This window comes from Homo sapiens, chromosome 12 (assembly GCF_000001405.40).
Source record: "Homo sapiens chromosome 12, GRCh38.p14 Primary Assembly".
Classification (NCBI taxonomy): Eukaryota; Metazoa; Chordata; class Mammalia; order Primates; family Hominidae; genus Homo; species Homo sapiens.
The window spans coordinates 131,796,984-131,821,579 of NC_000012.12; the positions used below are offsets into that span (position 1 = coordinate 131,796,984).

Below are 24,596 nucleotides of genomic sequence, written 5' to 3' on the forward strand. Positions count from 1 at the left end.
TGGGGACGCGTCATCTGTTATCAGTTAAATGAAATAAGTAGCTTTAAGAGAAGTTAATGGGTTTGGAGTGGTTCCGTCCCTGAATTGTGCCTTGATGAACTCTTAGCCAAAAACTGGCTCAGATCCGAGCTTCTCCCTTTGTGCCCTGCCTTTAAACCAAAGCTGCATCTCTCACAGAAACTCTTGCCTTTCAGAAGTCCCCACGAGAAGAAGAAGAAGAGGCGGTCCCGGTCGCGGACCAAGTCCAAGGCCAGGTCTCAGTCGGTGTCACCCAGCAAGCAGGCAGCGCCCCGGCCCGCGGCCCCCGCGGCCCACTCGGCGCACTCAGCCAGCGTCTCCCCTGTGGAGAGTCGGGGCTCCAGCCAGGAGCGCTCCAGGTAACCCCTGTCCTCCAGCAGCTCTCTCTGGGGAAAGGCAAGGGGCGGCCAGCAGGACTCTCCCTCCTCCCTGAGTCCTTGCCTATGTCAGTACTCGCCTGTGTCCAGGGGGCGCCAGCCACAAAGCCAAACCGCACCCCCTCTAGCAAGGAAGTCGCCCTAGATGTGGCTTCTCACAATCCATGAGCGCTCAGAGGAGCAGGTCCTGTACTGGGGAGACCCTCCTGCAGAGCCCAGGAGTGGAGCAGTCCACTTGAAGCAGCCCAAGTGTCACACACGTGCCTGATGCCCACCAGGCACACTGGGCTGTGCAATGACCAGTAGACCGGGAACTGTCACCAGGTCCCCAGGCTGCCGTGGCTGGAGCAGGTCCCCAGGCTGCAACGGCCAGGGCCAAATGACGCCAACCTGTCACCGGGCATCACACCTGGGCAGCAGCACAGACGTGGGCGTCCCAGTCCCGGGCTAGGTGATAATGACTTCAAGTCAGACACCCTCCGCTGCCCAGGCACCCACACCCTGGGGGGACCAGAGAGGGCAGCATCTGGGAACAGCTGCTCCCTTTAAACTGATTGCTTCCATAAATGTCAATCATGGGAGTAACGCGCAACTGTTCCATTCTAGTGGCAGAGGCCTCAGCTAATTTGAGATGGATTAGAATCTAAGAGGTGGCACCTTTAGAGTTAAAATGTAAATCAGGCTGGGCGCCGTGGCTCATACCTGTAATCCCAGCACTTTGGGAGGCCAGGGCAGGAATTTGAGACCAGTCTGGACAACATGGCAGGACCTTGTCTCTACTAAAAATAGGTGGCACGCGTCTGTAATCCCAGCTACTCAGGAGGCTAAGGTGAGAGGATTGCTTGAGCCCAGGAGGTGGAGGCTGCTGTGAGCCATGACGGCACCACTGCACATCAGCCTGGGTGACAGAGAGAGACCCTGTTTCTGAAAATGTAATAATGATAAAATGTACATCAGTGTAGGAGGCTGAGCATCGCTGCGGGGAGGGGGTGTTGGCTCCAGCACACAGACGCCTCATGCACAGGCCGAGGGCACCTACAGCCAAGGCCGTGGTTCTGGGAAGGCTCCACCGTTCTGCTGAGTCTTTCCTTTCTTTGTTTCTTTTTTCCTTTGTGTTTAAGGTAATTTTATATGAAAATCTTTTTGAGTTAGATTGCAATTTGTAAACATTTCAGATGAGTATAACACAGCATGTTTATGATGCCAAGTTTTATTGAAGGATACTGGAGGGGTGGGCGCGGCGGCTCACGCCTATAATCCCAGCACTTTGGGAGGCCAAGGCGGGTGGATCACCTGAGGTCAGGAGTTCGAGACCACCCTGACCAATATGGTGAAACCCCGTCCCTACTGAAAATACAAAAATTAGCCGGGCATGGTGGCACACGCCTGCAATCCCAGCTACTCAGGAGGCTGAGGCAGGAGAATTGCTTGAATCTGGGAGGCAGAAGTTGCAGTGAGCTGAGAACGTGCCATTGCACTCCAGCCTGGGTGACAGAGTGAAACTCTTGTCTGGAAAAAAAAAAAAAGATACTGGAAGCAGATGCAGTGGGCACTTCTCAGTTCTAGAGTTGGGGTTCGGAGGTGGGGATGCTGTTCACTGGCCTTGGCTCAGCATCTTCACACGGTTGTAAGCTCTGCTCTCTCTCTCTCTGCATTAGGGGAGTCTCTCAGGAAAAAGAAGCCCAGATCTCTTCAGCAATCGTTTCTTCCGTGCAGAGCAAAATCACTCAGGTCAGTGGGCACGCCCCCCTCCCGCTCCCAGCCTTTCATCAAGGGGCCTCGTGGTTTCTCTGTTGCTAATTTTCATTCCCTGTCCCTCCTGTCCCTGTCATGGGACAGGGATCTCGGGCAAAATACCACAGGCTCTGGGTGAGGCCGAGGGCAAAGCCGTGTGGCCCGCACCCTGCACAGCCAGGCTCCTCCGCCGCCCCCACGGTGCTAGCACCGTCTGGTCTTGACCACCAACTCGTTGATGAATTTCTTCACCACGTGGGTTGTCTGGCCAGGTCTTCACAGGTTCTCCTCTGTGTCTCGCCCTGCACAGGATCTCATGGCCAAAGTCAGAGCGATGCTTGCAGCTTCCAAAAACCTGCAAACCAGCGCTTCCTGAGACGGGGCCAGCGGAGGCAGAGCCGGGAGGCTGCGTGGGCTTCTGGGCAGGCTCACGCAGACGCCGGCCACACCATCCACCTGGCCGCCTCCATGGACCCTTGGTGGCTTTTGTAAATTAATTTTTGATGACATTTTGAGTTTTAAGATTTCTGACCAGCAGTCTCTTACCTGTATATTTGTAAATATATCATGTTTCTGTGAAAATGTATTATGAAATAAAATGGGAGGAAACACCTTTTCTAGCTAGACCCTGGCGTGGTTTCTTCCTTCTCTCCTTGGTTGGCTTCTGGGTCTGTTTGACCGTCTGTCATCTGTTACACGTGTAGTCATGGAGGTGTGGCAGGGACAGGTGGGCAGCACTGGGCCTCCCTGTCCTGGGCCCCCAGCCCTCCGACAGCAGCCACTGGACTCCCCTTCCCCGTCTCCACGCCTCCTGCGGTCACCGCACACCCCTTCTTCCCAGGCCGTCAGCTCCCCGTGGGCATGTGTCCCTGCCGGCACCCATGCTGCAACTGCCGGACAGGCCCTCCCTGCGGCAGTGGTGCACAGCAGGGGAGCAGCCCAGCCCCGCCTCACCATGCTGAGCACCGCATGTTGCCTTGAGCGCCGGCTGCTTGCTCCTGGCGCCTTTCCTGACGTGCAGATGCCCGGGACTCCACTGCAGGCTTCGGCCCCCCAGTGGAAACACAATTTGTGTGTAGCTGAGGGTCCGGCCACCTGGAGTTGGGGCTCGTAAGGTCCTTACACCAGAAATGAGGATTTGCTGCTTGTCTGCTGTAGGCAGGTCACAGTGACACTTTTGTCCCCACAGGAAGGACACTCCCTGGCGTTCACTTAAACGCCTGCTGTGCCGAGGTCAAGTTCCATTGTCAGTTCTGCCAATTTACCAAAACCCAGAAATTGAATTACGGTTTTTCCTCCTTATGGCGCTTGGGGTCCAGACGCTGCCTGCCCGCGAAGGCCAGTGTGGGTGAGGCAGGTGGGCAAGCTGGGGCAGGTGGGTGGGTGGGGCCAGGCACACACACAGGCACAGGCCCCACAGCTGCCCACAACCACTCAGAAATGCTACAGGCCCTGGATGAGGCAGAGGGCAAAGTCGTGTGGCCTGCACCCTGCACAGCCAGGCTCCTCTGCCACCCCCACCCCCACGGTACCATATACCTGGTTCCTCTCACAACCAGTGGCCAACTTCATGTAGCACTCTATGCATCTCCCGATGCGTTGGTTTCTGAGATGACATCACTCAGGGTCCCCCCGCCCACGGCTTGCAGTAGCCATCCATCCCACAAATGCTCATCGGCCCCTCCGCACCTGGACGTGAAGCCGTCTCCAGGAAGACACTGGCTTCCTCCCGCAGCAGCGCACTGCGGTTCAGTGCAGGGCTCCCCAGTGGCTGCTCCGGGTCGCAGGTGGCCTTTGCTGCCGGGTCAGTGCTGTGGTGACCGTCCTCGGGCAGATGCTGCCCACATCCTCCTGGTGCAGCGTCTGCAAACATTTTTATCTTTGCTAAATCAGAAAGATGGAAAGGTCTTGATTTTTATTGCATTTCTTCAGTGATGAGTCAAATGGCACAGTTTCCCTTCTGTTTCAAAATGCGTTTCCATTGCTTTGTGAACTCAACCATGTCCATTCCTGTGTGTGGCGATGGAGTTCTTTTTCAATCATAACAACTCTCTACATGTTAGGGGACTTAGCCTTCTCGTATTAGTTATTTTGTAAATGTTTGCCCCAATTTGTCATCGCTGTTTTGACTTGAAGGTTTTTTTACATGGAAAAGTTTTTGTACGTATGTAGTCTTTTTTTTTTTTTTTTTTTTTTTGCCAAAAGCCTCGAGCACCTGATACTCCCAGTTGGTCTCCCATCCAAGTACTAACCAGGCCCAACCCTGCTTAGCCTCCGCAATCAGATGCAACCGGGCCCGTTCAGGCATGGCTGTTCGTGTTTGCCGTGGCCCGTGTTTGCCGTGGCTGTTCATGTTTGCCGTGGCTCGTGTTTGCCGTGGCTCGTGTTTGCCGTGGCTCGTGTTTGCCGTGGCTCGTGTTTGCCATGGCCCGTGTTTGCCGTGGCCCGTGTTTGCTGTGGCTGTTCGTGTTTGCCGTGGCCCGTGTTTGCCGTGGCTCGTGTTTGCTGTGGCCTGTGTTTGCCGTGGCTGTTCATGTTTGCTGTGGCTCATGTTTGCCGTGGCTCGTCTTTGCCGTGGCCCGTGTTTGCCGTGGCTGTTCGTGCTTGCCATGGCTTCTGGGCACTGCTCCTGAGGTGGGCTCTGTGTGTGCAGAGGTGACCTTGCTTTGCCTCAGGTTTGCGCCTCCAAGTTTTACACACCCTCCTTGTTTGCTGGGTCGTTTTCCACTGTAAAGGGTCGGGGATCATGAGCCAGAAATCTGCATCTTGATGCAGGGAGATCGTTACGTGGGACCGGACGTCAGCAGGATCGTGGTTCTACCCGTGCACCGCCAAGTGGACGTTTATGCCGGCGGCAGCTAGGATCGTCGGAGAGGGCAACACAGACTTGGCCAGCGTCTGGAACATCGGGGAATCCTGAGGGACCTACCACGCCCTGATATAGTGATGTTTTTGTTTGGTGCGTTGGTGCTGGAAGGGCTGGGGCACTTCCCTGGTAGAAGGGAGCAGGCATCAGTGCCTGGAGCAAGGAAGACTACGAAGACTACCCACCCAGCCCTCTAACCACTCGTCTCCAGAGTTGCCATTCATGATGGCCAGTGTCCCCCGGAAATGAGTACAGTGGTGTCACACTCTGCACAGACCCCCTGGTAAAGTCAACAGCACACATGCACTCTAAATACTGGAGCCAGGTGTGGTGCACGCAGTTGAGGTCCCAGCTACTTGAGAGACGGAGGCAGGAGGATCACTTCAGCCCAGCAGGTCGAGACTGCAGTGAGCTGTGATCACGCCACTGTGCTGCCGCTTGGGTGACAAAGGGAGACCCCATCTTTGTTTTGTTTTGTTTTGTTTTGTTTTTTTTGAGATGGAGTCTCACTCTGTCACCCAGGCTGGAGTGCAGTAGCATGATCTCAGCTCACTACAACGTCTGCCTCCCGGGTTCAAGAGATTCTCCTGCCTCAGCCTCCTGAGTAGCTGAGACTACAGGTGCGCACCACCACGCCTAGCTGACCCCATCTTTAAAAATAAAATACTGGGTCAGGCACAGTGATTTAATCCCAGCACCTTGGACGGCCAAGGCAGGAGGATCACGTGAGGCCAGGAGTTCAAGACCAGCCTGGGCAACAGAGCAAGACTCCGTCTCTACAACAAATACAAAAATTAGCCAGACGTGGTGACACCTGTAGTCCTACCTACTCAGGAGGCTGAGGTGGGAGGATAGCTTCAGCCTGGGAGGTCAAGGCTGCAGTGAGCCATGAATGAGCCACTGCACTCCAGCCTGGACAACAAAGTGAGACCCTGTCTCAAAAAAAAAAAAAAACTGTAAAATTAGACTTTGCATAGTGTATACAAGACACATGACTGTGTGTATGACACTGTAGTAATTCCTCACCACCGGCCAGGCACACAGTGGCTCACGCCTATAATCCCGGCACTTTGGGAGGCCAACGCAGGAGGATCGCTTGAAGCCAGGAGTTCAAGACCAGCCTGGGCAACATGGTAAAACTCTGTCTACTAAATTGCAAAAATTAGCCGGGCATGATGGCGGGCACCTGTAGTCCCAGCTACTCGGGAGGCTGAGGCAGGAGAATTGCTTGAACCCAGGAGGCAGAAGTTGCAGTGAGCCGAGATCACGCCATTGCACTCCAGCCTGTGCGACAGAATGAAACTCCAGTCTCAAAAAAAAAAAAAAAAAAAAGTTTTATCACCGCTAGGGACTGTTATGTTAAACCCCGAATGTCTTACTTTATTGGTGATTGAAGAAATTTCCAAGGGTGACTTTGGCTGGACCCCTCACCCATGTGAGATGCAACCCCACCCTCCCTGGGCCTAACTCTCCTGCCATGGACATCTAGACAGCTTCCTGCCTTTCACTGTCGGCAAGGATGCTGCTGGGAAACTAGAGTTTTTCCCCTTTAAAAAGATTCCTTCTGGGGCCGGGCATGGTGGCTCGCGCCTGTAATCCCAGCACTTTGGAAGGCCAAGGTGGGTGGATCACTTGAGGCCAGGAGTTCGAGGCCAGGAGTTCGAGACCAGCCTGGGCAACATAGTGAAACCCCATCTCTACCAAAAAATACAAAAATTAGCTGGGCATGGTGGTGCACACCTATAATTCCAGCTATTCGGGAAGCTGAGGCGGGAGAATCACTTGAACCAGGAGGAAGAGGTTGCAGTGAGCCGAGACGGCGCCATTGCACTCCAGCCTGAGCAATAGAGTGAGACTCTGTCTCAACAACAACAACAACAAAAATATTCTTTCCTTCTTTAGGACAGATTTATAGTAGTTTTACTGTATCATTTCTAAGGTTCTTAAACTGTGCTAATAAAATTGTTCTCCAAAGATTGTCTCCTTCACCTGTGTTTAGTAAGGCTGGCTTTTGTCAGAAGCCATTTGCTTTGATGTTTCCTGGTGCGTGGCTTGGATCACTGCCCTGTGTGTCCCTGGGTGTGACCCGTGTCTGGATCGTTCAGCTATCTGAGCCCTAATGCAAGCTGAGAGGGCCAGGTCGCTCCACCAGCTTCACGGAACCAGACAGGCACTGGGGGCTGTGAGTGAGAAGGGGGCTAGGCAGGGAAAGGGCTTGGGAACGGGGCGCTGACGAGGCCAGGCAGGTCACTGGGTGGGAGGAGTCGCTAAGAATGCTGAAAACTTCCACCTCAGGGCCAACATTTGGGGTTTTACTTGGCTTGAATAAGTGATTCACTCACGTGGCTACACAGGAATTTCTTGTGAATCCTTCCAAGTTCCTTTGTATAAATACAAGCAAATATGCAAATATATTCTCCCCCTCCAGCCCCAATACACATCTTTATACACGGAAAGTGTGTTATCATTTCCATTCTGTGCCAGCTTCATCTTGCTTTTGCAGTTACTGTATGTCTTAGAGTCATTTCCTTATCTGAACATAAAGAACTTCCCTATTTTTTTAATAATAAACTTTTTTTTTTTTTGAGATGGAGTCTCACTCTGTCGCCCAGGCTGGAGTACAGTGGTGCGATCTCGGCTCACTGCAATCTCTGCCTCCTGAGTTCAAGCGATTCTCTTGCCTTAGCCTCCTGAGTAGCTGGGACTACAGGCACGCGCCACCACGCCTGGCTAATTTTTATATTTTTCTAGAGATGGGGTTTCACCGTGTTGGCCAGGCTGGTCTCAAATTCCTGACCTCAAGTGATCTGCCCACCTTCGCCTCCCAAAGAATAATAACCTTTTTTAAGAACAGTTTTAGATTTACAGAAAAATTGTGAAGACGGTACACAGTTCTCATATACCGGCACCCAGTTTCCACTATATCACTGTATTAGCACCATTTTTTTTTTTTTTAAGTCTCATTGTGTCACCCAGGCTGGAGTATGGCGGTGCCATCTTGGCTGACTGCAACCTCTGCCTCCTGGGTTCAAGCGATTCTTCTGCCTCAGCCTCCCAAGTAGCTAGGGCTACAGGCAACCACCACCATGCCCGGCTAATTTTTGTATTTTTAGTAGCGACAGGGTTCACTATGTTAGCCTGGCTGGTCTTGAACTCCTGACCTTGTGATCCATCCGCCTCGACCTCCCAAAGTGCTGGGATTATAGGCGTGAGCCACCGCGCCTGGCAACACCTTACATTAGGATGGTACACTTGTTATAATGAATTAATCAATATTGATACATTATTATTACTGAAAGTCCATACTTCAGATTCCCTTTGTTTCCCTAATGTCCTCGTTTTGTCCCAGGATCCCATCCAGGTTCCCACCTTGTATCGAGTCCTATCTCCCTGGGTGCCTCTGGGCTGGGGAAGTTCTTCATTCTTTTCATAGCTGTGTAATATTCCATTTTATAAATGATGCATCGCTGATTCACCAGTTCTCTTCTGGGGCATATTTGGGTTGTTTCTGATCCTACTCTAACACTACTCTAAAAACCTTGTACCTAAGTCATTTCTCATATCTGCACAAACGTCTTTAGCATAAGCAAACGTTCAGCAAAGGCCAGATGGTAGACATCTTAGTATTTGCAGAGCATCCAGTTTCTGTTATTCAACTCTGCGGTTGCATAAAAGCAGCCAGAGACTACATGTAAATGAGCGGGTGTGGCTGTGTTCCAATACAATTTTATGTGTGAACCCTGAGATCTGAATTTCATAGAATTTTTACATATCACAAAATATTCTTTTTTCACAATTTTTTAAAATAAATTTGTTTCAAAATTAAAAGTGTATAACCTGGCCAGGTGCAGTAGCTCACTCCTATAATCCCAGCACTTTGGGAGGCCAAGGCAGGTGGATCACCTGAGGTCTGTAGTTCGAGACCAGCCTGGCCAACATGGTGAAACCCCATCTCTACTAAAAATATAAAAATGAGCTGGGTGTGGTGGCACGTGCCTGTAATCCCAGCTACTCGGGAGGCTGATGCAGGAGAATCATTTCAACCCAGGAGGCAGCGGTTGCAGTGAGCCGAGATCACACCATTGCACTCCAACCTGGGTGACAGAGCGAGACTCCGTCTCAAAAAAAAAAAGCATTTGTACCCAGAATAGCCAAAACACTCATGAAAAAGAACAAAGTTGGAAGACTCACAATTCACAGTTGGAAAACTTACTGGACAGCGCAGGGACCCGGACCGTGCAGAACTGACCGATGGGACAGAACTGAAAGCCCAGGCAATTCAGGGGAGAAAAAAGTGCTGATTCCGACAAGCGGTGCTGGGAAGGCACGTGGCCACGTGTAAAGAACGAAGCTGCATCCTTCCCTCACACCATGTGCAAAAGTGAACTCAGACTGGCTCAGAGGCCGACATGTAAGAGTGGAAGCTACGGACCACCGTTAGAAGCTAAACCTTTGCAAACGTGGTGGCCGTGGTGTCTTCAACAGGACCACAGAAGCACGAGCAACGAGAGAAAAAATGACAGATTGGACTTGATCAAAACATACAACTTTTGTGCATCAAAGGACACATCAAAGTGAAAAGCTCACAGAATGGAAGGAAAACGGCAAATCGCGTATCTGGTAAGGGATTCGTATCTAGCATATGTAAGGAACTCTTACAATTCAGTAATAAAAAGAAAATAACGCGATTAAAAAATGGTCAAAAGATCTGAATAGACATTCCTCCACATAACATATACAGGTGCCAATCAGCACAGGAAAAGAGGCTCAACACCATTAGCCATCAGGGAAGGGCAATGCAAACCACAGTGAGGCGTCACCACACACCCGTTAGGACGGCTGTAATCAAGCAGACAGCACAGGTGTTGGCAAGAGTCAGGGGTGTTGGAGAAATTGGAACGCTCTTACACTGCAGGTGGGATGTAAAATGGTACAGCGCTTTGGAAAACAGCCTGGCTTTTCCTCAAAAGGCTGAACATGCAACCTGGCAATCCTACTTCTCAGCATCTACCTAAGATCCCGTTTATGTGAAATGTCCTGAATAGGTACATTCGTAAGCACTAGTGGTTGCCTAGGGCTGGGGGGATTGGGGAGAAATGAGGAGTGACTGCTGATGGCTGCAAGGTTCTTTTTGAAGTGCTAAAAATATTCTAAAACAGGCTGGTGATGGTTGCACAATTCTGTGAATACACTGAAAACCTTTTTTTTTTTTTTTTTTTTGAGACAGAGTTTCCCTCTTGTCACCCAGGCTGCAGTGCAATGGCGCGATCTTGGCTCACTACAACCTCCACCTCCTGGGTTGGAGCAATTCTCCTGCCTCAGCCCCCTGAGTAGCTGGGATTACAGGTGCCCGCCACCACGCCAAGCTAATTTTTGTTTTTTGCTTTTTTTTGTTTTTTTGAGATGGCGTCTCCATCTGTTGCCCAGGCTGGAGTGCAGTGGCACAATCTCGACTCACTGCAACCTCCGCCTCCTGGGTTCAAGCGATTCCCCTGCCTCAGCCTCCTGAGTAGCTGGGATTACAGGCCATGCCACCCCCGGCTAATTTTTGTATTTTTAGTAGAGACAGGGTTTCGCCATGTTGGTCAGGCTGGTCTCGAACTCCTGACTGCATGATCTGTCTGCCTCGGCCTCCCAAAGTGCTGGGATTACAGGTGTGAGCCACCTCTCCCAGCCTAATTTTTGTATTTTTAGTAGAGACGGGGTTTCACCATGTTGGCCAGGCTGGTCTGAAACTCCTGACCTCAGGTGATCTGCTCACCTTAGCCTCCCAAAGTGCTGGGATTACAGGTGTGAGCTACCACACCAGGCCCCTGAAAAACATTTAGTTGTACACTTTAAATGGTTGAATTGTATAGTATGTAGATTATATCAATAAAGCTGTTGTTAATTTTTTTTTTTCTGAGACAAGTTCTCACTACGTCACCCAGGCTGGAGTGCAGTGGTGCGATCTTGGCTCACTGCACCCTCCACCTCCCAGGTTCAAGCAATTCTCCTGCCTCAGCCTCCTGAGTAGCTGGGACTACAGACATGCACCACCACGCCCCACTAATTTTTGTATTTTTTGGTAGAGTTGGGGGTTTCACTGTGTTGGCCAGGCTGGTCTCGAACTCTTGGCCTCAAGTGATCCACTCACCTCGGTCTCTCAAAATGATGGGATTACAGGCTTGAGCCACCAAACTCGACCTAAACTTTTTTTTTTCTTTCTTTTTTTGAGACGGAGTCTCACTCTGTTGCCCAGGCTGGAGTGCAGTGGTGCGATCTTGGCTCCTGGGTTCCAGCGATTCTCCTGCCTCAGCCTCCAGACGGAGAAGCTGGGATTACAGGCACGTACCCCACGCCCAGCTAATTAGTTTGTTTTTTTTCGAACTCCTGACCTGAAGTAATCCGCCTACCTCGGCCTCCCAAAGTGCTGGGATTACAGGCGTGAGCCACCGCGCCCGGCCCTAAATAAACTTTCTAAAGAGACATTTGTGGCCGGGCGCGGTGGCTCACGCCTGCAATCCCAGCACTTTGGGAGGCCGAGGCGGATGGATCGCCTGAGGTCAGGAGTTCAAGACCAGCCTGGCCAACATGGTGAAACCCCGTCTCTACTAAAACACAAAAAGTTAGCTGGGCGTGGTGGCGGGCGCCTGTAGTCCCAGCTACTTGGGAGGCTGAGGTGGGAGAATCTCTTGAACCCGGGAGGCGGAGCTTGCAGTGAGCCGAGATCGCGCCCCTGCACTCCAGCCTGGGTGAGAGTGAGACCCTGTGTCAAAAAGAAAAAAAAGAGAGAGACATTTGCATTAGATCTTTGAACTGTTTCCGCTTGGCGTCTTAGAAACCTTACTCAACCCAGACAGAACCCTCTCGGGGTGAAGCTTGCGCCCCGCTGGGACCCGGAAGCAGAAGGAACAGAAGGAACAGAAGGAACAGAAGGCCGTGCGGGCGGGGTGTGAGGCAGGCGGGGGACGACCCGCCCTGAGCTGCGCTCCCCGCCCGGGCCTCTTCCGCCTCCGTTTCCTCAGCTGCCGGGAGCTGCCCGGAGAACCAGGCGCCTCCCAGTTGCTTTCGCCTCCCGCGTTGTTCGGCCAGAGCCTCGGCGCTGCTGCGTTTTGACTGGAGATCTGAACGCTGCGTTAGGCCCCTTTCCCGTGAGCAGCAGAAGCCAGTTCTCCTGCCTTAACCACGGGAATCACCGCCAGGCAGCGGGCGGTTCCCTGGAGGGCAGGGAGGGCTGGGGCCCCGGCCGCTCCAGAGGGTCCCAGGGCAGGAGGGACGCGTCGACGCCCATCCCAGCACAGGTGCGGCACGGGGCCCAGGCTGCCTCCGCCTTTTTTCTTTTCTTTTTTTTTAATTATTATACTTTAAGTTTCAGGGGACATGTGCACAACGTGCAGGTTAGTTACATATGTATACATGTGCCATGCTGCTGTGATGCACCCACTAACTCATCATCTAGCATTAGGTATATCTCCCAATGCTATCCCTCCCCCTCCCCCCACCCCACAACAGGCCCCGGTGTGTGATGTTCCCCTTCCTGTGTCCATGTGTTCTCATTGTTCAATTCCCATCTATGAGTGAGAACATGCGGTGGTTGTTTTTCTGTCCTTGCGATAGTTTGCTGAGAATGATGGTTTCCAATTTCATCCATGTCCCTACAAAGGACATGAACTCATCATTTTTTATGGCTGCATAGTATTCCATGGTGTATGTGTGCCACATTTCCTTAATCCAGTCTATCATTGTTGGACATTTGGGTTGGTTCCAAGTCTTTGCTATTGTAAATAATGCCACAATAAACATACGCGTGCATGTGTCTTTATAGCAGCATGATTTATAGTCCTTTGGGTATATACCCAGTAATGGGATGGCTGGGTCAAATGGTATTTCTAGTTCTAGATCCTTGAGGAATCGCCACACTGACTTCCACAATGGTTGAACTAGTTTACAGTCCCACCAACAGTGTCAAAGTGTTCCTATTTCTCCACATCCTCTCCAGCACCTGTTGTTTCCTGACTTTTTAATGATTGCCATTCTAACTGGCGTGAGATGGTATCTCACTGTGGTTTTGATTTGCATTTCTCTGATGGCCAGTGATGGTGAGCATTTTTTCATGTGTGTTTTGGCTGCATAAATGTCTTCTTTTGAGAAGTGTCTGTTCATGTCCTTCGCCCACTTTTTGATGGGGTTGTTTGTTTTTTTCTTGTAAATTTGTTTGAGTTCATCGTAGATTCTGGATATTAGCCCTTTGTCAGATGAGTAGGTTGTGAAAATTTTCTCCCATTCTGTAGGTTGCCTGTTCACTCTGATGGTAGTTTCTTTTGCTGTGCAGAAGCTCTTTAGTTTAATTAGATCCCATTTGTCAATTTTGGCTTTTGTTGCCATTGCTTTTGGTGTTTTAGACATGAAGTCCTTGCCCATGCCTATGTCCTGAATGGTATTGCCTAGGTTTTCTTCTAGGGTTTTTATGGTTTTAGGTCTAACGTTTAAGTCTTTAATCCATCTTGAATTGATTTTTGTATAAGGTGTAAGGAAGGGATCCAGTTTCAGCTTTCTACATATGGCTAGCCAGTTTTCCCAGCACCATTTATTAAATAGGGAATCCTTTCCCCATTGCTTGTTTTTCTCAGGTTTGTCAAAGATCAGATAGTTGTAGATATGCGGCGTTATTTCTGAGGGCTCTGTTCTGTTCCATTGATCTATATCTCTGTTTTGGTACCAGTACCATGCTGTTCAACTCCTTTCAGAATCCAAATTGCAGGGAATTGGGCTTTCACTGAGCACAATACGGCCGCTCTTCCCCTGGCTGAAAGCAGCCAGCACCCTGGTGTACCTCGTGGGGCCAGGTCAGCCCCCAAGAAGGTGTTCCCACAAGAAGGTGCACAGGGGCGGTGTCCTGGAGGGCCAGCCATTCTACCCACTCCATAAACACCAGCGTCAGGGATTGCACACCTGCTGCGCCAGGCTGGGTTCCAGCCCCGGACTGAGAGCCCGAGCGGGTGGTGGAATGCGGCTTTTCACCATGTGAAAAGTTGCTTTAATTACAAGTTCATTAGCTATTCAGCGGGGGCAGCTTAGGGAAACATGAAAGTGAAATGTTGAAAAAGAGTTTGAGAAAGCACTTTAGACGATTTTCCGTTGATTCAGATCTCAAACTCTGCAGAGCTGAGCCACCTCTGTCTTCCCCTTGGACGGATTCTGCCGTGGGTTGCGAGACGACCGTGGAAACAAGGCCAGCTGATGCCCCTACTAACCTGGAAATAACCCAGGTTTCTTTTCTAGTACAGCAGGTCCTGCCAGCTCTTGAAAAATTGTGCGGCCGGGCGCGGTGGCTCACACCTGTAATCCCAGCATTTTGGGAGGCCAAGGCAGGTGAATCACCTGAGGTCAGGAGTTCGAGGCCAGCCCGGCCAACATAGTGAAACCCTGTCTCTACTAAAAATACAAAAATTAGCCAGGCATAGTGTCGGGCGGCTGTAATCCCAGCTACTTGGGAGGCTGAGGCAGGAGAATCACTTGAACCCGGGAGGCGGAGGTGGCGGTGAGCCGACACTGCACCACTGCACTCCAGCCTGGGCAACAGAGTGAGACTCCATCTCAAAAAAAAAAAAAAAGTGCAAAAGCAGAAACAAGCTTGCAGTAACCAGTGTCCCTTTCGGCCACCACCACCCAGGACCCACCAGCTTCTGGAGGGTGGCAGCTCTGTTCTCTTCGGAGATTGGCCCCAGCTTCCAGGACAGCAGAGAGCCTGGCACCCCGTAGGGGCTCAGCATGCATGCGGATGAAGTGCCCTCTGGGTGCCAGCCGGGCACCACCCGGCCTCCATTCAGCTGACAGATGGGTCCCGAGCACGTCCTTTCCCCAAGCAGTATCCTGGGAAGAAAGGGACGCAAAAGAGGGCTCAGCCTCAGGCCTGCGTGTGCTTCAGAGAGCTCTCAGAATGTGCTTTGGGGAGAGTAGGGTGGGGAGGCTGGAAGCAGAGAGGCCCGAGTCAAGTCCACAGCAAGGGGGGCCTGGGCAAGAGTGCACAGAGCAGCGGGAGGCCCTAGAGGGACTCAGGAAGCTGCTTCCTGGGCTCCACAGTTGGGATGAGGGAGAGCAAGAGAGAGGGACAAAGAGACTCCCAGGGTGACGGATAAGCAAGGGGAGAGGTTAGCATGGTCCATGTGGTGATGGAGGAGGGCTGGAGACGTCAGTGTGAACTCACGTGCAGCTGAACATAGCTACAGGTGGTTGCATAGGAAAATATCTGTGTATGAGTATGTGCAGGGCTTAGTACACACACATTTCTTTCAGCTGACCAGTGAGGCCCAAGCAGCAACGAACACACCTAGTGCCGAGATCTTGATTTTGTGAAAGTTGTCAGAATCACTTCTGTTTTAAAAAAACAAATAAAACCAAACACTCTGGCAAATAGGCCTCAGGAAGGCCATGAAGAGAAAGGCTGTCGTGCATAAATGCCTGAAAACAAAAACTATCAGAAAAGACTGCAAAAATGGACTGAGATGGATTCATGAAAAAAAAGAAAAAAATGAAAAAATAAAAGCGCAAAAAACACAACCTTGCACAAAGGCCATTGAAACCTTACACAAAACTATTGTGAAAATATCTACCCAGCAATTGCCTGTCTAACCTTGGACTGGCATTGCCTTTATTATTGATCTTTGTAGCCAAAGATAATTTTTTTTTTTTTGAGACGTATTTTCTCTGTTGTTGCCCAGGCTGGAGTGCAATGCTGCAATCTTGGCTCATCAAAACCTCTGCCTCCTGGGTTCAAGCGATTCTCCTGCCTCTGCCTCCCAAGTAGCTGGGATTACAGGCACGCACCACCACACCTGGCTAATTTTGTATTTTTTAGTAGAGACGGGGTTTCTCCATGTTGGTCAGGCTGGTCTCGAACTCCCGACTTCAGGTGATCCACCCGCCTCGGCCTTCCAAAGAGCTGGGATTACAGGCATGAGCCACCGTGCCCGGCCCGCCAAAGATAATTATCTCAAAACAATTATGTCATCTTCCTCATTCGTTCTGTAAAGGCTTCATCTTCCTTCACCCCCAGCCCCCAGCCCCAATAATGCACATAGTTCACTATGGCACATGTATTCCCACTGAAATTCCCCATTCCCAAATAAATATCATTTTCATGCCGGGCGCAGTGGCTCACACCTGTAATCCCAGCACTCTGGGAGGCCAAGGTGGGTGGATCACCTGAGATCAGGAGTTCAAGACCAGCCTGGTCAACATAATGAAACCCCATTTCTACTAAAAAAAATTAGCCAGGCATGGTGACACATGCCTGTAATCCCAGTTACTCAGGAGGCTGAGGCAGGAGAATGGCTTGAACCTGGGAGGCAGAGGTTGCAGTGAGCTGAGATCGTGCCACTACGCTCCAGCCTGGGCAACAAGAGTGAAACTCCATCTCAGTTTTCTTTTAAAGAGCCTCTCCCGGATATTTCCGTTGAGATAAATGGTGTCAGAAGTGGGACCTGAAAAGCGGTCACTGTTGGAAGGAAGCCGTGGCTCTCAGAACTGGCGATTCCCACCTGAGCTCTTCACTTCTGCCTCTTGCCTTTTCTGCCCTGCTGAATCTTCTCTCAGGCCAGGCCTCCCTCTTTTTAGGTAGAAGCTCTCCACTGTATTCCAGATTTGGTTTGGTTATAAGATTGCCTTAATAAACGCCCTTACATTCCTCCTAGGATCAAAAAAGAAAGACAAGTGTCTTTTTGGTTTCTAGAGAACTCAGATTCCATCTGCGAGATGCGAGGTGCCAGGTGCGAGGTGCGAGGTCTTCTCTGGTAAATTCACTTTTGGTCACTGCTCCTAGCTGAATATTTCATTTGATCTACATGCCTGGGTCAAAATTTTTTGCAAATCCTGATTATAGTTTGGTTAAATGCATGATTTGGCCATTTTCCCTTCTTTGTTTCTAAAAATCTTCCAAGAACAAAAATAAACATTCTAAATGGTGGGCACAGGGTGGCTAATTAAAAACAACTGGGTTCCACGTTGAATTCATAACTGGAAAAAATACATACTAGAAGATACAAAGAAAAAACTTTTTTAAAGCTGCTGGGCCAGTCACCACCATCTAAAACATTGGTCAAACTCCAAACATTCTCTGACAGGATTTACAGAATTTTCTTTGCTCTAAAGATATTAATAAGAAACGGAATGGGATTCTTAAATATGAAGACATGCCAAGTTTTCTGGGACTCCCGACACCTACATATTATAGCCCATTCTCATGCATATTTTTTTAACTGGTGGACAAATTACATCAAGAAAAATTAAGAGCTCAAATTATCATTATTCAAACAGTCTCTTCAAAAAACAAGCCTTCAACTATAGGGCTAATGTGGAGAGCCTTCTAAGTTCTCTATTTTTTTTTTTTCTGCTTACTTTGAATCTGCTGACTTTTCTAATGGGGTTGAGATAAAACTCACAGCTTTGGCATTCCAGCCAATATTTTTTGTAATTGTTGTAAGAAAGACGAGTGGGTGTGGCAACTCACACTTGTAAACCCAGCACTTTGGGAGGCTGAGGCAGGAGGATTGCTTGAACCTGGGAGTTTGAGACCAGCCTGGGCAACATAGTGAGACTCCATCTCTACAAAAAATAAACAAAAAATTAGCCAGGTGCGGTGGTGCACAGCTACTTGGGAGGCTGAGGTGGTTGGATCACTTGAGCCCAAGAGGTGGAGGTTGCAGTGAGCTGAGACTGCAGCACTGCATTCTAGCCTGAGCAACAACATATTGAGACCCTGTCTGGAAAAAAATGAACAAAAATAAATAAAAGGTTACATCCACGTAACCTTTTTAAAAAAACTCTTTTTTTTTTTCTTTGAGACAAGGTCTGGCTCTATTGCCCAGGCTGGAGTGTGGTGGAGTTTAGGACAGTCACAAGGTGGCATCTGCACAACCTTGTAAATGTCCTAAATGCAGGGAAGTGTACACCCTGAAATGGTGATTTTTTTTTTTTTTTTGAGACAGAATCTTGCTCTGTTGCCCCAGCTGGAGTGGAGTGGCACAATCTCTGCTCACTGCAACCTCTGCCTCCTGGGTTCAAGCAACTCTCCTGCCTCAGCCTCCCAAGTAGCTGGGATTACAGGCGCCCCCCCACCACACCCGGCTAATTTTTGTATTTTTTGGTAAAGATGGGGTTTTGCCATGTTGCCCAGGCTGGTCTCAAACTCCTGACCTCAGGTGATCCACCCCCCTTGGCCTCCCAAAGTGCTGGGATTACAGGAGTGAGCCACCGCACTTGGCCAACAAACGATTTTTTAATATTTATAATTATATTATTTTAAAAAATATGGAAGTCTTCACGAATTTGTATGTCATCCTTGCGCAAGGGCCCTGCTGACTCCTCTGTGTCACTCCAATTTTAGTGTCTGTGCTGCCCCAGCCAGTGCTGTGTAACTATCTCTGTCTTGCTTTCAAAGTCTTTTGATTATCACTTCAGTGAAATAAACGACTGTTATTTCAGAGTGACCTATGATCACGTTTCGTTCAATTGTTTTAAACCTTTTGACATCTTTAGCAGCTTCTCCAAGAACAAAATTCTAAATTAAGTTTTTCTGACCTAGGCTTAACTTTGGAATTTTCTAGCTGGGCCCCAGGAGAACCTTAAAAACTTATCTCTCATTTTGTAGAGGCATTAAATTATTAGGCTTATTTAGTAAATTATGTGAGAGACATTATCAAATAATAAATTATATTAGGCATTCTTTCAGTTACATTTATGTTATTAATACAAATGTTTCATGGCTGGGCATGGTGGCTTACACCTGTAATTCCAGCATTTTGGGAGGCTGAAGTGGGTGGATCACCTGAGGTCAGGAGTTCAAGACCAGCCTGGCCAACATGGTGAAACCCCATCTCTACTAGAAATACAAAAATCAGCCAGGCGTGGTGGTGCACACCTGTAATCCCAGCTATTCAGGAGGCTGAGGCAGGAGAATCACTTTAACCCAGGAGGCGGAGGTTGCAGTGAGCCGAGATTGCGCCACTGCATTCCAGACTGAGCGACAGAGCGAGACTCCATCTCAAAAAAATAAATAAATAAATAATGTTTAAAAATTGTATAAAACTTAAAATCTAATATCATTAGTCATAATTTTAGCTGTTATAGTAAATCTTCTTTAAAGTTATATCTATGTAAATGTATTAATGTGAATATCCTATAGACTATGTACAGCTGATCAGTCTGATGGCCCCAGATGAACAATGAGATTCGCCATTCCACAGTCTTCATTTACAGCAGTCTGCACTGTTGAGAGGCTCCAGCCGTCACACTCACTCACAGGCAAGTCCCTTAAACCTGATTTCCTGCCAGGCGCGGTGGCCACACCTGTAATCCCAGCACTTTGGGAGGCCAAGGCAGGTGGATCACTTGAGGTCAGGAGTTTGAGACCAGCCTGACCAACATGGTGAAACCCCGTCTCTACTAAAAATACAAAAATTAGCCAGGTGTGGTGGCGGGTGCCTGTGATCCCAGCTACTTGGGAGGCTGAGGCAGGAGAATCACTCAAACCTGGGAGAGGGAGATTGCGGTGAGCCGACATCGCACCACTGGACTCCAGCCTGGGCAACAGAGCAAGACTCCATCAAAAAAAAAAAAAAAAAAAAAAAAAACCTGATTTCCTGCAACAAAAACGAAATGACTCAAGAAATTACAACTGGCAGAGAACAAAGAGGGTGGAGAAGTGGATATTTCACAGAAGTCACACAAGGCCAGGCTCACTGTAGAAACATGGAAAAATACAGTATCTGAAGCCAAACTAACCAGGAGCATGTCCTAGCAACAGCACTCACTACCTACAAAACTGTGGGCATGGCGCTTTTGTTATCATTCTGTGATAAAAACCTCAGTGAGGTCAGGCACAGTGGCTCACAACTGTAATTCCACTGCTTAGGAAGGCCCAGGTGGGAGGATGGCTCAAAGCTAAGAATTCGAGACCAGCCTGGGCCACAGAGCAAGATCCCAACTCTAAAAATCAAATTAAATTTAAAATTTAAAGAAACAAAACAAAACAAAACTTGGCCAGGCATGATGGCTCACACCAGTAATCCTAGCATTTTGTGAGGCTGAGGTAGGTGGATAGCTTGAACTCAGGAGTTTGAGACCAGCCTGGACAACATGGCAAAACTCCATCTCTATAAAATTAAAAAAAAAAAAAAAAGAGCAGGATGTGGTGGTGTGTGTCTGTAGTCCCAGCTCCTTGGGAGGCTGAGGTAGGAGGATCACCTGGGCGACAGAGCGAGACCCCACCTCAAAAAGAAAAAAAACTTAAACGAGCTGTTGGGTAAAACTTTCAGTGTAATGGAAGGAAGACACGCCAGGCCGGAAATCAGAATGCTTTCCGGGCACTCCACTCATCCTGGCGTGGGGCTCAGGCTTGGCTCTGCCGCAGTCCACACCATCTCCCCAACACAGAACTACGGCAGCCCCCGACCCGAAGCCAGCAAAGCCCCTCAACCGGAGCTCCCTTCACAGGCGCAGGTGGTGGGAGTTCACCGTCCGCTCATCATCCCAACAGTCTGAGGACGGCGCAGCAGCCTGGGCTCCCATGGGAGGTGCAGTGAGGGAAAGCACACTCGCCCAGGCTCCCCCAGTCGTGGTGACAGAAATCCAAGCATGGGGCCATTTAAAAGAGTAGTCGTGACAGCTTAGGAAGGAGCGACTGAAGCTTTCTTTGTTTTCTCTCTGGCGATATCTTTAGGGGCCTCTCCAAGTTTCTTGCTGAAGACATCCACAGGTCTTAACCAGGCTGGTCCACCGCGGTCTTGTGATTCGAGGCACAGTAAGTGGCCCCTTACTTTCCTTCTCTACTTGACTTTTCTGGATTCGAAAGAGCGTTTGTCAAACCTACAAAAAGATGACGACTGATGGTTTTTACAAGGTGTGAACCATGAAGAGTGATCCCATGCCACCCAGGATGGGGTTGAACATTGACATTGCTACAGACCTGTATTAGGTGGAAATAGCACTGAACCCCCAAAGGAATCTAACAACATGTAAGACAGGATATTTTTTGGCTGGGCGTGGTGGCTCACGCCTGTAATCCCAGCACTTTGGGAGGCCAAGGCAGGCGGATCACGTGAGGTCATAAGTTCGAAACCAGCCTGGCCAATATGGTGAAACCCTGTCTCTACTAAAAAAATACAGAAAAAAAAAATTAGCCAGGCGTGGTGCTGGGCGCCTGTAATCCAGCTACTCAGGAGGCTGAGGCAGGAGAATGGCGTGAATCCAGGAGGCGGAGGTTGCAGTGAGCCGAGATGGCGCCACTGCACTCCAGCCTGGGCGACAGAGAGAGACTCCGTCAAAAAAAAAAAAAAATTCCTGTCCTCCCCCACCCTTGTGATAATGTACTTTGTGATATTCCCCGTCCTTGTGAATGTACTTTGTAACATTCCTCCCCGCCCCTGTGACAATACACCCTCCCCACCCTTATGAATGTACTTTGTAACGTCCATCCCCTGCCCGAAAAAATTGCTGCTAACTCCACCGCCTATCCTATCCCAAACCTATAAGAACCAATGATAGGCCCACCACCCTCCTCTGACTCCTTTCTCAGACTCAGCCCCCTTGCACCCAAGTGAATAAACAGCCTTGTTGCTCACACTAAGCCTGTTTAGGTGGCCTCTTATACAGACGCGCATAACACCTACATTCTTCTGGATTCATCGAATCTAACTTTCTTCCATAGAATTACTAAAAATGGAAACTTCTCTGTTCCTGAAGTCCTATCAGCTAAAACTAGATGAATTCTCCAAAAGAAGCCTTGCGTCTGATGTGTGGGCCACACAAAAGTTCACTGTACCTCCCAATGCCATAGTCAGAGACATTCGAACTGCAAACCAGGTCGCGAATAGGACGTTTCATGCTGTAGACGGCTTTCCCTAGACGCCGGCGAACAGGACTCCTGTCATGATGACGCTCTTACCCATCTCAATGCCCACCTCTCCCACGGGGCAGGACGGTGGTGTCGCTGAACTTCCACGATCCGCGGCTTCTGCTGGAACTCCACAGAACCTGACCCAGGAGATCCCTTAGTCTCTTCTGGTTAAGTAAGGAAATGCCTGTGCTGTTGCTGCCACCACACGCTGCACCTGGAGAAACTCCTCTGGGAAAGCTGAGACCCACATGCACAAAATAAGAAAACAGGCCACAGGGTCGCAGCCGGTCTCACCCACCGTGAGGTTATCTGATTTATTCCCTTGGTTGCCTTTACGGCTGGGTTCGTGACAAAGCCACTGTGCAAACTGGGATTGCCACATTACTATTAATTTTACCTTGTATTTCCCCTTTTGAAGCTTTGCGTTTGTTCCTTGTTAAATTTTGAAGTACAACTCCTCGCAGGATCATGCTGGCCCAGCGCGTCGAGATGACAGCAAGAGACTCCAAAGCAGACAAAACTGAACTCAGTAACGGGCCCCAGGGGGCCTCAGCCCAGGCACCACACCCTCCAAACCTCCCCTATTGCTCAACTGTGGCTAAAAGGGTTTTGACATTGACTCCTAGTCACCACCCACCGTAACCCCACCCGGTGTGGGGAAAGACCAGCAACCAGGACATCCCTGGGACATCAAAACCTAAGTTCAGGGCCGGGTGCAGTGGCTCACGCCTGTAATCCCAGCACTTTGGGAGGCTGAGGCGGGCAGATCACCTGAGGTCGGGAGTTTGAGACCAGCCTGACCAACACGGTGAAACCCCATCTCTACTGAAAATACGAAACTTAGCCGGGTGTGATGGCGGGCGTCTGTAATCCCAGCTACTCAGAAGGCCGAGGCAGGAGAATCGCTTGAACCCAGGAGGCGGATCGGAGGTTGCAGTGAGCCGAGATTGTGCCACGGCACTCCAGCCTAGGTGACAGAGTGAGACTCCGTCTCAAAAAAACAACAAAAAACAAAAAAGCTAAGTACAGGAAGACTGATCAGTGATGCCTGAGAAAGATTTTTTTTTTTTTTAAATGGAGTCTCACTTTGTTGCCCAGGCTGGAATGCAGTGACGCGATCTCGGCTCACAGCAACCTCTGCTCCGCCTCCCGGGTTCAAGCGATTCTCCTGCCTCAGACTCCCAAGTAGGTGGGACTGCAGGCGCGCACCACCATGCTCAGCTAATTTTTGTATTTTCGGTAGAGACAGAGTTTCACCATTTTGGCCAGGCTGGTCTCGAACTCCTGACCTCAGGTGATCTGCTTGCCTCAGCCTCCCAAAGTGCTGTGATTATAGGCATGAGCCATCTTGCCTGGCTTTTTTTTTTTTTTTTTTTTTTGAGACAGAGTCTCGCTCTGTCACCCAGGCTGGAGTGCAGTGGCGCAATCTCAACTCACTGCAGCCTCTACCTCCCAGATTCAAGCGATTCTCCTGCCTCAGCCTCCCGAGTAGCTGGGACCACAGGCGCGCACCACTATGCCTGGCCAATTTTTGTAGTTTTAGTAGAGATGAGGTTTCACCATGTTGGCCAGGCTGGTCTCAAACTCCTGACCTCGAGATCCACTCGCCTTGGCCTCCCAAAGTGCTGAGATTACAGGCGTGAGCCACCACATCTGGCTGCCTGAGAAAGATCTTGATCAAAGGGGGAAATATAGCCAAGCACAGTGTCTCACACCTGTAATCCCAGTGCGTTGGAAGGCTGAGGCAAGAGGATCTTTTGAGGTCAGGAGTTCACGACCAGCCTGAGCAACATAGTGAGACCCCTGCCTCTGCCAAAAAAACCTTAAAAATTAGCTGGGTCTGGGGGTGCACACCTGTGGTCCTAGCTACTTGTGAGATGGTGGTGGGAGGATTGCTTGAGCCTGAGAGGTGGAGGCCGCAGTGAGCTATGATTACGCCACTGCACTCCAGCCTGGACAACGGAGTCCCCTGTCTCAAAAAAAAACAATTGCCTGGGTGCAGTGACTCACACCTGTAATCCCAACATTTTGGGAGGCCAAGGCAGCAGGCTCCCTTGAGCCCAGGAGTTTAAGACCAGCCTGGGAAACACAGGGAGACTCCATCTTTATTTATTTTTTAAAAATTTAAGAGGCCGGGCATGGTGGATCACGCCTGTAATCCCAGCACTTTGGGAGGCTGAGGTGAGCAGATCACAAGGTCAGGAGTTTGAGACCAGCCTGAACAATATGGTGAAACCCCATTTCTACTAAAAATACAAAAATTAGCTGGGCGTGATGGCACACACCTGTAATCCCAGCTACTCAGGAGGCTGTGGTAGGAGAATCGCTTGAACCCGGGAGGCGGAGGTTGCAGTGAGCGGAGATCATGCCACTGCACTCCAGCCTGGGCGACAGAGCGAGACACCATCTCAAAAAAAAAATTAAAAAATATTTTTAAAAAGGGGAAATAGGAAAGTTTTCAGAATCAAAATAGAGTTATTAGTGTAAAAAAAAATCACCTGACAAATACAGCCAGGGAAGATTATGAAGGGAGGGTTCGCAGCCTTGTATGCCTGATAAAAACTACCACGAAAGACTGCAAAAAACACAACTTTGCCCAGAAAATACTTCTGCAAGGAAATCTGCCCAGCAACTGCCTGTCCAACCCCGGATTGGCATCATCTTGTCATTCCTCCTCGTAGCCAAGGATAATTGGCTTAATATTCTCATTTCAAAACAATTATGG

General features: G+C 49.7%; 1 protein-coding gene, 1 long non-coding RNA gene and 2 pseudogenes across 9 annotated transcripts in view, besides 3 other annotated features; 1 reads left to right on the forward strand and 3 right to left on the reverse strand.

Annotated features, from left to right (window-relative positions):
- The window catches only part of SFSWAP (splicing factor SWAP), an 88,649-nt gene extending 85,894 nt beyond the window's left edge, over positions 1 to 2,755 (forward strand). For all 7 annotated transcript variants that reach the window (XM_024449125.1, XM_047429327.1, XM_047429328.1 and 4 more), the window contains 3 exons: positions 195 to 377; positions 2,054 to 2,126; positions 2,440 to 2,755. In XM_024449125.1, the coding sequence (XP_024304893.1) occupies positions 195 to 377; positions 2,054 to 2,126; positions 2,440 to 2,505 (322 nt within the window). In that variant the 3' untranslated portion in view covers positions 2,506 to 2,755. The remainder of the gene's footprint in view (positions 1 to 194; positions 378 to 2,053; positions 2,127 to 2,439) is intronic.
- Positions 435 to 1,256: an enhancer, noted in NCBI's record as "H3K27ac-H3K4me1 hESC enhancer chr12:132281963-132282784 (GRCh37/hg19 assembly coordinates)". NCBI's record gives its function as "activates a minimal SCP1, AML or CMV promoter by ChIP-STARR-seq in naive H9 embryonic stem cells {active_cell/tissue: H9 hESC(naive)}" and the evidence as "EXISTENCE:reporter gene assay evidence [ECO:0000049][PMID:30033119]".
- Positions 3,347 to 4,196: an enhancer, noted in NCBI's record as "H3K27ac-H3K4me1 hESC enhancer chr12:132284875-132285724 (GRCh37/hg19 assembly coordinates)". NCBI's record gives its function as "activates a minimal SCP1, AML or CMV promoter by ChIP-STARR-seq in primed H9 embryonic stem cells {active_cell/tissue: H9 hESC(primed)}" and the evidence as "EXISTENCE:reporter gene assay evidence [ECO:0000049][PMID:30033119]".
- Positions 4,332 to 4,451, reverse strand: RNA5SP378 (RNA, 5S ribosomal pseudogene 378; annotated as a pseudogene).
- Positions 14,325 to 15,270: an enhancer, noted in NCBI's record as "H3K4me1 hESC enhancer chr12:132295853-132296798 (GRCh37/hg19 assembly coordinates)". NCBI's record gives its function as "activates a minimal SCP1, AML or CMV promoter by ChIP-STARR-seq in naive H9 embryonic stem cells {active_cell/tissue: H9 hESC(naive)}" and the evidence as "EXISTENCE:reporter gene assay evidence [ECO:0000049][PMID:30033119]".
- On the reverse strand, positions 18,280 to 18,385 carry RNU6-1017P (RNA, U6 small nuclear 1017, pseudogene; annotated as a pseudogene).
- LOC105370088 (uncharacterized) lies at positions 20,275 to 22,619 on the reverse strand. 2 transcript variants are annotated; one of them, XR_007063536.1, is made up of 3 exons: positions 22,269 to 22,619; positions 21,797 to 22,108; positions 20,275 to 20,841 (listed from the first exon to the last, which is right to left on the reverse strand). It is a non-coding gene; the product is annotated as an uncharacterized LOC105370088 (long non-coding RNA). The 2 variants fall into 2 exon arrangements; XR_945573.3 differs by having other exon boundaries at positions 21,920 to 22,108; positions 22,269 to 22,613.
- Between the last annotated feature and the right edge of the window lie 1,977 nt (positions 22,620 to 24,596).